We start from the raw sequence: 14,850 nt of genomic DNA on the forward strand, positions 1-14,850 counted from the left end.
CTAGTTCATAAGATATGGATGTGTTTTGCCATAAAAATATGAGAGTTTTTACTGCTCTGCATTTTCAACTATACTTGGTTTTCTATAGCTGTTCTATATATATTTTTTACCAGTCTGGTTGTTAGGTAATGATATCTCAATGTGGATTTAATTTGCATTTCCATTAAAATTAATGAAATTGAGTATATTTGTATTTTCTTTTCTATAGTGTTTATTAAAATCTTTTAACTATTTGAAAATTGTGTTTTTCTTAGCAATTTGTGAGATTTCCTTCATATTCTAGATATTAGTTATTTTTCATTAAAATATATGGCAAAGCACTTTTCCCAGTTGTTCTGTCTTTTCACTCTCTATGGGATGTCTTAATTTAAATGTTGGCCAAATTTATCAATGCTTTCCATTATAGTTTTTGTTTTTATGTGTCTCATGGCATAATCACTTCCACTCCTAAAATAACTTTTTACCTTTTCATCCACAGATTGTATGATTCTGTATTTTATATTTAGGTCTTTAGACACCAAAATTCATTTTGCTGTATGTCAGGTTTCTTTCCCCCTTTTTCTACTTCCTTCTTTCAGTTTATTTATTTAATGTAAATTTAGTCCTTTCCTCATTGATCTACAATAACATCTCTGCCATTATATCAAGTGTTCATATATTTAGAGTTTTTTCCTGGGCTTCTATTCTTTTTTATGGTTTAATTGTTTACCCCTAAAACTTCACATTATCAAACTTGCTATAGCTTTATAACATATACTACTGCTCTGTTATGAGACTATCCTGTTTTTTACTTTTTTACTTCCATATAAATTTAGAATCAATTTTACATGCTTCACAAAAAATTACTTATTGGCATTTTAATGGAATGCATTGAATCTATAGATCTGTTGGCCAAAAAATGACATTTTCTATTTATTCCCTTGTTCTATATTTATTTTTAAATATAAATAATTAGATAAAATAGATTTCTTATGTCAATAGTATTCTGTCTTTCATTTTTTGGTAAACAATGATTTCTGCTATAAATTGCTTTCTTATCACACATATTATTAAATATGATACCTTTATATCATTCTAATATTTTCTAATTTCCAGTATATTTTTTGATCAATGAATTATTTAGAATATGATTTTAGTACCCAAATTTATGAAATGTCTTAATTATCTTTTTACTATTTATTTCAAATTGAACAGCATTGTGATCAGAGAAAGTGATCTCATGACATCAGTTCTTAAGTATATTTTGATACTTAGTCTGTGGCCTAGTACACAGTTAATATTTGTAAATATTTTATGTATGCTTGAGAAGAATGCATATTTTCTGACTGTTGGGTTCAGGGTTCTACATATTTATTAGAACAAATTTATTTTTTGAAAGCTTTTATATCTCTATTTACTTTTTTCTGCTTTACTTGTATCAGTAACTGAAAGAAATACGTAAAAACAGAAAATCCTCCCACTATGATTACTAACTTGTCAATTTCTGCTATAATTCTTTCAACTTTTACTTTACCTGTTTTGATGGTATTTTGATAAGTACAGGTTTAAAATTATTATAGTTCACAGATTATTCACAAAATTATTTTATCATTATACTATGAAATAGTTTGTCATATTAATGCTTTTGTGTTAAATTTTATTTTTTATTTAATTACTATAGCTACATTGATTTCCTTTTTATTTGGCTTTTCTGCCCACAGTCAAGGCAACATAGACAAATTCCCTTCCATTTCTCCATGCTATTAGAGGTCTCGCATTTTATATCTGAGGACATAGCTTTTCAAACATCTAGGTCTCAATCTGCATCCCATCCTCCATCATGTGAAAACCCAGACTCATATTCTGCTCAATAGGATGTTAAGTCTCTTTTAAGAAAAAATAGCAAAACTCCATGGCATAGTCACTACATCAATTCTTATATTGAGCATTTTGCTTCTCAGTCTTCTCTTCATTTTTGTTATCTGATGTCTTATCTTACTTCTTTGTTAGCCTCAAAGTGCACTTAAAAGTAGGTTTATTGTGTTTTATCCAACATTTCTAGATATTCTAGGATGGGACATTCTCTGGTTATTGACGAAGCAGAACCCACTCATGGATGTCATCATATTGATGAACCCCATGAACATGATTCCATACTGGCTGCTGGCCAATAATTTCATGTCAGTTGCGTGAAAATAGTTTGTTCGACTTCCCTTATTTTTTAATTATCAGTGTAGAACAGAAACATAAATTACAGATGTCAAAACAGAAATGAGTAGAAAATAAATAAAATGTTATGAATATCTTATGTTCTTTTGTAATAATAAAAGTTTTAATGAGAATTTTGTTTTAAATAGATGTGCCTCATTTTTTTATTATACTTTAAGTTCTGGGATACATGTGCAGAATGTCCAGGTTTGTTACACAGGTATACATGTGCCATGGTGGCTATCTACACCCATCAACCCATTATCTAGGTTTTAAGCCCCGCATACATTACGTGTTTGTCCTAATGCTCTCCCTCCCCTTGCCCCCCACCCCCCAACAGGCCCCAGTGTGTGATATTCCCCTCCCTATGTCCATGTGTTCTTATTGTTCAACTCCCACTAATGAGTGAGAACATGCAGTGTTTGGTTTTCTGTGTTAGTTTGTTGAGAATGATGGTTTCCAGCTTCATCTATGTCCCTGCAAAGGACATGAACTCATTCTTTTTTATGGCTGCATGGTATTCCATGGTGTATATGTGCCACGTTTTCTTTATCCAGTCTTTCATTGATGGGTATTTGGGTTGGTTCAAGAAACTGTCATCAGAATGAACAGACAACCTACAGAATGGGAGAAAATTTTTGCAATCTATCCATCTGACAAAGGTCTAATATCCAGAATCTACAAGGAAGTTAAACAAATTTACAAGAAAACAAAAAAACAACAACCTTATCAAAAAGGGGCGGACAGATATGAACAGCCACTTATCAAAAGAAGACATTTATGTGGCCGACAAACATATGAAGAAACGCTCATCATCACTGGTGATTAGCGAAATGCAATTTTTTTTTTTTTAAAGACAAAGTCTCACTCTATCACCTAGGCTAGAGTGCAGTGACATGATCATAGCTCACTGCACCTTGAACTCTCAGTCTCAAGTGATCCTCCTACCTCAGCCTCCTGAGTAGTTGGGACCACAGGCATGTACCACCATGTCTAGCTAATTTATTTTTAATTTTTGTGGAAATGGGTATCTCCCTCATTTGCCCAGGCTCGTGTCAAATTCCTGGACTCAAGTGATCCTCCCTCCTCGGCCTTCCAAAATGCTGCGATAACAGACATGAGCCACTGCACCTGGCCTTTTTCTTTTCTTTCTTTTTTTTCTTTTTTTTGAGACAGGGTCTCTGTCACCCAGGCTGGAGTGCAGCGGCGTGGTCTTAGCTCACTGGAACCTCTGCCTCCCAAGCTCAAGCAATCCTCCTGCCTCAGCATCCCCAGTAGCTGGGACTACAAGCACCGTACCACCACGCCCAGCTAATTTTTTGTTTTTTGTAAAGGCGGGGTCTCTCTGTGTTGCCTAGGCTGGTCTCAAACTTCTGAGCTCAAGAAAGTTGCCCGCCTTAGCCTCCAAAATTGCTGGGATTACAGGCACGAGCCATGGTGCCTGGCCCTTTGTATTCTTATAAAGTGATGGAAGATGCCATTTTATAAAGTTTAAAATGTAGGGAAAAAAAAACTTATTTGGAATGCTTCTAAGATCTATATCTTCATAATAATACTATTTCTTTAATATATGAGCAAAAATCATTCATTTTAAGTGGCTTTCTATTAAAAAGGCATAAATTTCATGAAATATGAAAATGTTACATTGTTTTCTTTTTCTCAAAATGTTAATACTACATCACTTAAAAGAAGTATTTCTTTGAGAACATAAAATGATAGGAAGTCCTAAAAGATTCTAAAGTTCTGACAGCCAGGTCAAATAACACGATAGCAGAATTCATAAAAGACCATTCCATGATTTTCACTGGTTAAAGTTGAGGACAGAGTAGATCAACCTTTCCTACCTCTAAACTTTAGCCATATATTGTAGCCTAGTGAATATAGTAATAAATTCATTATTATATTCACTTTTTAAATTATTGATTATAATAATAAATTCAATATTAATATTATCAATATAATAAATTCATTATTATATCCACTGGGCCACAAAAGCTCAGTTTAAGGTTACTTCCCAGGCATTAATAAATACCACTTCCGGTGGCATTTATTAATCATATTAATTCTTGATTCTCACTGAGAAACTTGTTTTTGTGGTTTTTGGGTTAGTCTTTTTTAACTTGTATGCTTTCTTTTTTGTTTTTAACTTGCATGCTTTTTTTTTTCCTGATGTTAACATTTTTCCCCCAGCTTTAGTGAGGTAAAATTGACAATGCAAAATTCTGTATATTTAAGATGTGCAATGTTATATTTTGATATACATTTACATTGTTGAAATGATTACCACAATCAAGCTGATCAACATATCCATCACCTCATATAGTTAATTTTTTGTGTGTGCATGGTGAGAATTCTTATACTTCTACCAAATCTGTATGAAAGTTTCTATTGTTCTGTATCCTTGCTAATACTTGACATTGTCAGAGTTCATAAAATCTCAGCCCTTCTCGTGAAGTCTACTGGAATCTCATTGTGGTTTTATTTTACATTTCCCAACTACTATTTTAAAAAGTAGTAATACATACTTTGTTGTCTATTTAAGGCATACATGGATATTCCCTTTTACAAAATGCCTGTTCAAACTTGTTGCCTATCATTGTTCTAGAGGACTTTTTTCATTATTGATTATAAGATGAATTATTTATTAATTATGAACCATTTTTTAGTTATATGGGTTGTAAATATCTTCTATTATTTGGCTTGATAGTCACTCTCTTAAAGGACTAATTTAAGGAATAGGCTTTGCTTTTTATGTAGCCAAAATTATCAGTTTTTTCCTTTGTGGATAGAGCTTTTTCTCGTCTTTAACAGTATTTTTCTAATCCTCCAGTACAATATTGAAGCTAAACGGTAATAGTGAACATCCTTGTTTCACTTCCAAAATAAAAACTATCATCATTTTTCCATTAAGTATGATATTGGCATTAGGGATTTTGGTGTGGTTGGTTGTTTATGTATTTGTTTGGATACTCTTTTATATTAATAAAATTCCCTTCTATTCTTAATTTTATAAGAGCTTTTTTCATGAACAATTCTTTAATTCTATTGAAAGCTTTTCCGCAGTTTTTTTTAAGCAACTATGATATTTTTCTCCCTAATTTTATAATAGGGAAGTTTTTTAGGGACTCGTTTAGAGAATGTTTAATATTGAACAAACTTTATGTTCATGGAAAATATAGCCATCCTTTCACAAGCATGGAATCTTCATCATATGTTGCTGAATTCAGTTTCTTGCTATTTTGGTTAGAATTCTATTAATGTTCATGAGCCAAATTACTGTAATGTACATGAATCAGTAATTTTCTTGTCAGGATATGTTATCAAAGTCATGTTGACCTCATAAAATGAGTTAGCGGGTGCTTCATCCTTTTCAAATCTCTGGAAGACTAGAAGTCTCTGGAAGAATTTGTGTATGTTTGTTATTGTTTTTTCCTTAAATATCAAAAGCTGCCTTCTCTATGGAACTATGCCCTTAAGATTTTGGTCACCTCAGCCTTCCTAAAATCCAATCTCTGTCTCCTAGTCTAAGCAAGATGGGTGTGAACAGCTTGCCATGCCCTTCCTAGCAGGAAAGTCTCTATTATGGTCTCTGTTAGTGCTGTCATGGCCAGGAGCAGAAGTCACTACATGGACATATTGTGTAAACGAATTTTAAAAAAGCAAAACCCAAAGAAAGCAATAATAATAAAAAAGAAGCAGCAGTCATAATGTGATTGAGGTTATTTTGTACCTTAGATCTTTGTCAAGAAAATTATCATATTAATATTGGAAATTAGCCTTCTTTCTTTTTATTTTGTAAACAAAAACATGTATTGTCTATTTCATCCACTGTCTCAGATCTTCTAGCACAGGAATAAGCAATTTAATCTTCTAATAGTTATGATATTTTGATTGTTTTATTTTATATAATCCCATTGGTTTTTTGTCCTTTCTTAAGGCCTTTGGTGTTTTTAAAAAACTTTTTTTTTTTTTTAGAGAGAAGCTGGAAATTGTTTAGAAATTATAATTTTTAAATCTTTTACTATTTTTGATAGTTTTTTTCTCAAATTAAATTCAGTAATTTATAGTTTTCACTAATGAAATTAGAGTCTTCCATACATTTAGAATTTATATTTTAAAACATATTTTTACTAATTGTAAAATAATACATACTTTTGAATACAATATTAAGACTGAACTGAAAATTTTGTCTTAATTCTTTTCTGATTTATTGTTATGACTATTCTCTTTTCAAATATACTTTCTGCATTTTCTCTCTAACTTCATTAGATTCATTAGAATATATTATTTGACATTCCATGCGTTTAAGAAGAATCAGCTCTTAGAATTATTCATCATTTAATATGCATTTATATTTATTACTTATTTTTTCTTTCTATTTCTCACATCTGCTTTTTAAAAATTCTTCTGATTCTTCTTTTTATGCTGTCTATTTTTATTTTTTTCTATTTAGATATTGAAAACATTTTCACTATAAATTTACTTTTGGCCAGGCGTGATGGCTCACACCTGTAATCCCAGCACTTTGGGAGGCCAACATGGGCAGATCACGAGGTCAGGAGATCAAGACCATCCTGGCCAACCCCGTCATCTACTAAAACCGTGTCATCTGTGGTGAAACCCTGTCTCTACTAAAATACAAAAATAATTAGCTGGGTGTGGTGGTGTGCACCTGTAGTCCCAGCTACTTGGGAGGCTGAGGCAGGGGGATCACTTGAACCCAGGAGGCAGAGGTTGCAGTGAGCCAAGATCACGTCACTGCACTCCAGCCTGGTGACAGAGCAAGACTCCAGATTGAAGGAAAACAGTATGTGTGTGACATTTATGTGTTCTCTTTGACTCTTCAGTAAAACCAAAAGATGCTAGGGCTCACAGCAATGATCTTTGTGTTCTTCTTTGTATCGTAGGAGATCTTTTATTGCTGTGTCCACAGACTGCTAATTGTTTTATAAGGTCTCTTGAACTCTTGCACAGTGATAAACATTTTTTAACTGGATTACATTTCCCATTCTTCCTTGAAGTTAGGTTTGGCCATGTACCTAAATTCTGGCCAAAGGAATTTAAGAAGAAAAGAGGTGTGTAACTTTAAGGTTAACCAATAAAAACAAAATGCTGTGCCTTTTACTTTACTGTTTCCCACAGCTAGAATGTGGACATTTTGCCAGAGTTGGAGCAGACGTTTCGGATCGTGAAGTGGGAATAATCTTGATAAGTGGGATATTGGAGTAGTACCTGGTAAGTGAGCCTGGATCCCTGGCCTCCTCAGAGTCACCATGCTTTGCTTGGATTTTTCTGTAAGAGAAAAAAAATCCCCATCTTATTTAAACCACTGTTATTTTGGTCTTTCTCACAGAGTTGTACTGATGACCATTTTAATAAACTCTTTTATAATTCACTCGTCCTGAAATAAAACTTTCTTATAGAAACATAAAAGTAAGATATGATGCAAATCAGTGTATAAAATGCCATTATGAGAATGTTTTATGGTGTTCCATGTGACATTTCCAAAATAATTACTTCTAAGAAAATATTTTAAGAGCATTCTTATATCAAAAATAAAGATAAAAAAGAATTATTACATATCAATATTTAACATAAGAGCTTTTAAATTTAGTATAATCTTTTGAAATTACACTGGTCTTATTTTATTTTGTTCTTATTAATTTGTTCACTCTCAGAGAGGATACTTTTCCATGCTATATTATTGTCTTTTTATTTCTTTCTAGAAAACTATCATTGCAAGTATCTGAATTTAAGAAGAAGAATCACGGAGGTAAAATGTCTATAAATGTTTTCTTAAGATGTGAAAATACTCCCAAAAGGGCTAAATGAGATTTTAAAAAATCAGGTAGAAGTTAATTATAATTTTTATTTGTTTGACAAGCTATCTATACTTTCCATTTCATGGTACAGGTAGACAATAATAATATATGCACAGAAGACTATTGTAGATGGAAAAAGCTGCTTTAGCTGGAGGGCTCATAGAGCTCTTGCCACCCCAAGACCCCACCCATCAACTTAGACTAAGGAATCCTCTCTAGGCACACTGGTAACCCATTGATATGGTTTGGCTCCATGTTCCCATCCAAATCTCACCTTGAATTGTAATAATCCTCACATGTCATGGGAGACACCCGGTGGGAGGTGATTGACTCATGAGGGCAAGTTTTTCCTGTGCTGTTCTCATGATAATGAGTAAGTTTCATGAGACCTGATGGTTTTATAAAGGGGCTTTCCCTTGCAAATGCTCTCTTGCCTGCCACCAGGTAAGACGTCCCTTTGCTCTTTCTTTATCTTCTGCCATGACTGAGAGGCCTCCCCAGCCATGTGGAACTGTGAGTCCATTAAACCTCTTTTGTTTATCAATTACCCAGGCTTAGTTGTGTCTTTATTAGCAGTGTGAGAACAGAGCAATACACCAATTTTTGGTGCAGCATTTAGCACTGGTTAGAAAACCCTGGTTTAAGGCACTGAGGACTAAGTGGTGAGAAAATCACTCCAAAAACAAAAGTCATTTTAACAGGAAATTGGATGAATTGAAACAAAGACAGAATCATTTAAAGCATATTGTTCATGCACCCTCCCAGAGTAGAAACATTGAGAAAATTAAATTTACAAAATGTTATTGTATCATCACCCATTAGCATTTTTCGAACAATGCAACATTAAGGGAATAAGGACATATGACTTTATACTACAAATGTTTATTCCCTAAAGATGCATTCACTTTGTGTGGTTCATATAATCCTGAGATTTTTGTGACATTTCAAGTATGTGGTAAGCACAATAATTAAAATTCTATGTTGACATTTTCATGTTTTTAATGAATTTCTTCCTCAATTTATTTGAAATGTACATGTAATAAATAGGAATTTACTATGAGTCAAGCTCTGAAATTTAAAGAAGTCACAAGTCTTACTTGTGTTCTTGACTTAAACACTGAGCCAGTTTTACAGATTCGAGACATTATGTCCAATAATGAGCTCCTCACACAATAAAGATATATTTATATCTTTAAAAAATTGAAGAGAATGTAAATGTGTATTCAGGCAGGGTGACAGCGTAGTAATAAGAGATTCACATAGGCTCAAACAAGCCTTTATGAAACTATTATATAAACATAATTGTCACTTTATTATAAATGAAAGTCATAATGTAATCATGATGGATGTCATTTAATGATACCCTGCTGGTCCTTGACAAACACTAGCTTAAAACAACCCTTTAAGGTAAGTTTATTATCCCTATTTTACAGATGAGAACATGAGGTTTGGAGAGGTTAAGTAACTCCCCCATGGTCACTGAATTAGTTGTAAACTAATTTACAATTAGTCCACTAACTTTGATGTGCTAGGAATATCACAGCTCTATCACAGCTTCTTTAAATCCAATTAATTTTGTATCTGAGCCCCCATCACACTGAGCTAAAGGAAATTGCACCCAAGTCTTTCTTGGCTTCCCCCAGAGAGATAGCCAAGGTGTGGGTCCCTTCTGTTATCAGATATTTTCTGCACAAGGTATCATAAACTCTTCTGAAAAGTGCACCAGGAAGAAGGAACAGAGGCATACTCCTTCTAGACTCAGCATGACGTCTGTCTCTTCTATCCAGGGCTTTGTTTCCACCCTCAAAAAAGCCTTTCCTTTGTCCCATAAATTCAGTTCTTTTAATAAGAATACTTTATGGGGTAAAAATCCAGGACTTCTAGCCAACTAATCCATTTCACCCTGTGCATTCCTCTTTGGGACAATGAAATACAAGTCAAGTTGCTTACATGGTGGTATAAAAATCGAGGGAGAAAAAATATATTAAGTATTCTTAAACAAAATTTAACAGTTAAAAATATTATTCAGCTATAGCATGTTTTCCCCAGAGTACAACTAGAGGTTATTAAAACATAGCAATATTGTGTTATCTAGAGTCTGACCGTAAGCATCACACAGGCGGAACAAGATGAATTACCACCACCAGCATGACTCACTCCTCACCCAACCACATCCCCACATAGGAGAACTAAATAATTTCATCCTACTCTAATAAGAAATATATTTCTTATCCAAATGTTAAAAGCCTTTTTTAGGACAATAGAAACTTTCATTATAGGGCAACACAGCTCCTTTGCAGAGTGAAAAAGGAATTAGAGGCTGTTGTACACAATGGCAATACTTTGCTGTTTATGGGAATGTTTCTATCTTAACACAGGGTTAAATATTACCTCCCTTCTTTTTTTAAAAGAAAAGTGATGACTGGCCTTGGGAAAAGTGCTGCACTTGGACTCCCCTAACTAACATAATAGACTCAATAGATAAGCAAGGAGTTGTACCTATTATCATGCCTGTTAGAATATTTAAAAAGATGTACAATTTCCAGAATGCATGTCATGGGAAAGCACCCCTCTCTGATTTGTAGCTGGAGTATTCCTGAGAGGCATCTCAGTGGAAGCCTCCAAACACGGTTGTGCAAAAAAGCCTACATAAAATTACCAAGGGCTGTCTGCCTCCTAAACACCATATTTAGAAATAATGAAATGCTAGTGTGAAGTATTAGGTCTGAGGACCAAGATCCTGTCCAGAGACTGGGATGAGTTTCCCGTGCATAGAGATTCACAAAGAGAACTTTGGCGGGTGGGGCTTGGGGGAAGACTGAGAAGCTGAGGAGGGGTGGGTTAGACATCTCCATAATGCTTCCTTGTCCTTGGATGATTTCCCATTGGGAGCTTGGGGAAAGTTCAAGTTGTCAAGAACTTTAACTCTTCATTCTCAAATTGTTACTCTATCGATAAAGAGGCAAACTGGTAAGAGAAATGAAGCGGGTTCCACTTTCTTCCGTTTTCCGCTCTCCTGCAGAGAAGAAAGATGTATTTCAGGAGATCTATTGCTTGGTGTGAGAGTTGCCTACTAGCAAGTGGTCAGCATGCAGTGATGCTGGAAAGAGTGAAGAGGAACCACAAGTTCTAAGCACTAAGGCGAAGTGCCAGAGAGAAAGACTGAACCTCCTGCTTATTCACCCCATTTAGAAAAAGCTGTCTTCTCATTTATGCAGCCACCAGACACCTGAAAAAATGCTCATCATCACTGGTCACCAGAGAAATGCAAATCAAAACCACAATGAGATACCATCTCATGCCAGTTAGAATGTGGAGGATGTGGAGAAATAGGAATGCTTTTACACTGTTGGTGGGGGTGTAAATTAGTTCAACCATTGTGGAAGACAGTGTGGCGATTCTTCAAGGATCTAGAACTAGAAATACCATTTGACCCAGCGATCCTATTACTGGGTATATACCCAAAGGATTATAAAATATGCTATTATAAAGACACATGCACATGTATGTTTATTGCAGCACTATTCACAATATCAAAGACTTGGAACCAACCCAAATGTCCATCAGTGATAGACTGGATTAAGAAAATGTGGCACATATACACCATGGAATACTATGCAGCCTTAAAAAAGATGAGTTCATGTCCTTTGCACGCACATGGATGAAGCTGGAAACCATCATTCTCAGCAAACTATCACAAGGACAGAAAACCAAACACCACATGTTCTCACTCATAGGTGGGAATTGAACAATGAGAACACATGGACACATGGAGGGGAACATCACACACCGGGGCCTGTCAGGAGGTGGGGGGCTGGGGGAGGGATAGCATTAGGAGAAATACGTAATGTAAATGATGAGTTGATGGGTGCAGCAAGCCAACATGGCACATGTATACCTATGTGACAAACCTGCACTTTGTGCACATGTACCCTAGAACTTAAAGTATAATTTAAAAAAAAAGAAAAAGCTGTCCTCTGAAGAAAGGTACACACAAAAAGGGGATGGAAATCAAAGCTGCACTTATTTGTGCAAAGATTTATCAGCAATTAATTGTAACTTTGTTACTTTACAATTTTAACAAAACATATTCAGCACCTCCTATATGCCAGACACTGTGGTTAAACAGACAATTTTATTAAAAATCATCTCTGTTCTACAGATATTAATATTCTGTAGAACATGGTCAAATAAACAGAAAGTATGATACAATAAGTACTGTGATAGATGTCTGTACACGTTGCTATGGTAGCACATATGAGGGTAATCTCATTAGGCTGGGGAAAATTGTGGAAGGCTCAACAGAGGAGATGATACCTCTGCTGAGCCTTCAAGAAGGAGTACAATTTATCCAAACAAAATCTGTGCACGAGGAAGGTAAGAAGAAGTGAGGGCAATAGTTGAAAATAGTGCGTGCACCATGTAAAGGCATAGAAGAAAAATAGTGACATAAGTGGAGAACTGAATGTTCTCATTATGATGGAGTGTATTTGTAGGATTGGAGAATAGGGAGAGATGAAGCTGGAGAACTGGTCAGGGATCAGGTTGTGAATAAACTGTTAAGCCATGGTAAGGATTTTGGACTTTAATTTATAGTCATGCAGGGGCTCGCATATCAAAAAGGTGACTCTACCAGAAATATAAAGAATGTATTAGAAGAGAATGAAAGTTGCTAAGAGTGCTGTAATGTGTAAAAAAATCGAGGAGAAATTATGAATATTTGGATCATAGACAGTAACTATTGGAGCAGACAAAAGGGTGCAGACTGGAGAAAGATTAAAGAAGTGAAATTGATAGGAACTGGTGGTTGATTAGATATGGGTAGTAAAACAGTTAGGAGACACAGATTGACCCTCAGATTCATGCAGTTTTAGCAGATGCATAGAAAATTAATTGAATGAAAATGAGTAGCTTAATTTGAACATGTTGCATTTGATGGACTTGTATTATGTGTATGTATGGCCAAAATAAGGTGTAACATGAAAACTACTGAAAGACTGCCTGTACAAACAGACCATGGCCAGACCATGCATGGCAATACAACTCTGACCCACAACCTCTGCAGCAACCAGTCCAGGAAGACAAATTGCAACCTCTACAGCAATAAGCCCAGAATAGTCAGGACTTGGTCACCACCTACCAGTCTCTCTATTTATTACCCCCACTTCAAACTTAGGACTAACCAGCCAAGTACGCTCCCCAAACCACTGCCACCTGAATTCACAGGTTCCAGTCCCTGGAAGTACTGTAAGTAAACATATAGGCTATGTCTTGCCATGAAAGAGAATATAATGAACCCCTTTGTGCTCAAAGAAGGATGACCAAGCACGGCAGGGTTAGAAAGAGCAGCCCCTCATCCAGGAGAGGGAGGGGTGGGGAGAGGAGCAATCAGTCCTTTTGTGCTGAGATGGTTCAAAAGGAAAAGCTTCTCTGGCCTGGAAATTTGAACTCTAGAGAAGGCAAAGGGGCAGGGCTTCCTGGTCAGTAAGTGAAGGAACATTGTTCCTAGTTTGGGCCCAGCAGTCCTTTGGGAAGCTGGGGTTCTCAAAGATTAATGCTTGTGGAACTGAAGGGCTAAGCTTAAGAACATCCTTGGCTGAAGACAACTCATGGGGAGTGGGATTACACTTCCCCAAAAGACTCAAGCTGTCTGACAGGGCTCTGGATGGCACCTCCTCCTAGGAGGCTGCTTGAAGTCAGGAGAAGGAATGACTACTACTGCAGATGAGTGCTCCATGCTTCAATGTCAACTTCAGAATTTTGGATTTCCCTGAATCAGTTGAGGGAGGGCAAATAGCCCCTTTACTTATTTAGCTGGTAGCTTGTTTATTTACTTAACAAATACAGTACAGCATTACTACATATAGATACTTTCAAGTGCTTTATGAATATGAACTCATTTAATTCTCGAAATTGTATGAGGCAGTGCTATTTTTATATCCAATTCTTAGATGAGTAAAGTGAGGCACAGACAGGCAGAATACTATGCCAAAAGTTAGGCTCCTGGGAGGTGATAGAGACAGTATTCAATCCCAGGCAGTTTGTCCAGATTTCACGCTTTCAACCATTAGCAATTGATTTATTTATTATCCTCTGTTGGGAAAATAACAGCAGTGTCAGAAATTATCCCCCATTCTGCAGCGAATTTCATACCAGCTACATTTCACTTAATCCTTACAACAATTCTGTGTGATGGGGGATTCTCATCTTCAATTTATAGATGAGGAAATAAGCTCAACGGCTCATCCAAGGTTATATAGGCAGAGGGGCAGAGCCAGTCAAACACAGGTTGTCTAATGCCAGTCAAGGGTTCTTTATACCACATTGTCAGTTAGTAGAAAGGTCTAGGGGAAGTAAGTGAGGAGATTGCAAAATCATCTTAAAAAAAAAAAAAAAGAAAAATCATGATTCAGACCTGCCTGACTTGCTGACTACACATCAGCTTTCATAACATATCACAATCAGCCTCACAGTGGAAAATGAGTCAATTTCTATATACTGTGGCTTTCTCAAAAACCTCTCAAGGGAACTGTAAGAATTTGCTGAATTCATATTGCAATTCAGCCCATTATAAGAACTGTAAAGCAATTAGACTCAGAACCTGAAACTGCATATAGCTCATCAGCTTGGGAAGCAGAGATGGGTACATTATCTAGTTAAGTACCTCCAGTTACTCATCACTGTGTTATCTGTAACTTCAGAACATCAGTGAAACAAAAACTGCACAATTTCATAGTTTTCCATTGTATACAGAAATTTGCTAAGAAAGACTAATTGTGATGAGAACAGATCAAGAATAGTTCAACTATTTGAAATAAGTTTGATGGAATTAAAATCATTT

Source organism: Homo sapiens, chromosome 13, assembly GCF_000001405.40.
Source record: "Homo sapiens chromosome 13, GRCh38.p14 Primary Assembly".
Lineage (NCBI taxonomy): Eukaryota > Metazoa > Chordata > Mammalia > Primates > Hominidae > Homo > Homo sapiens.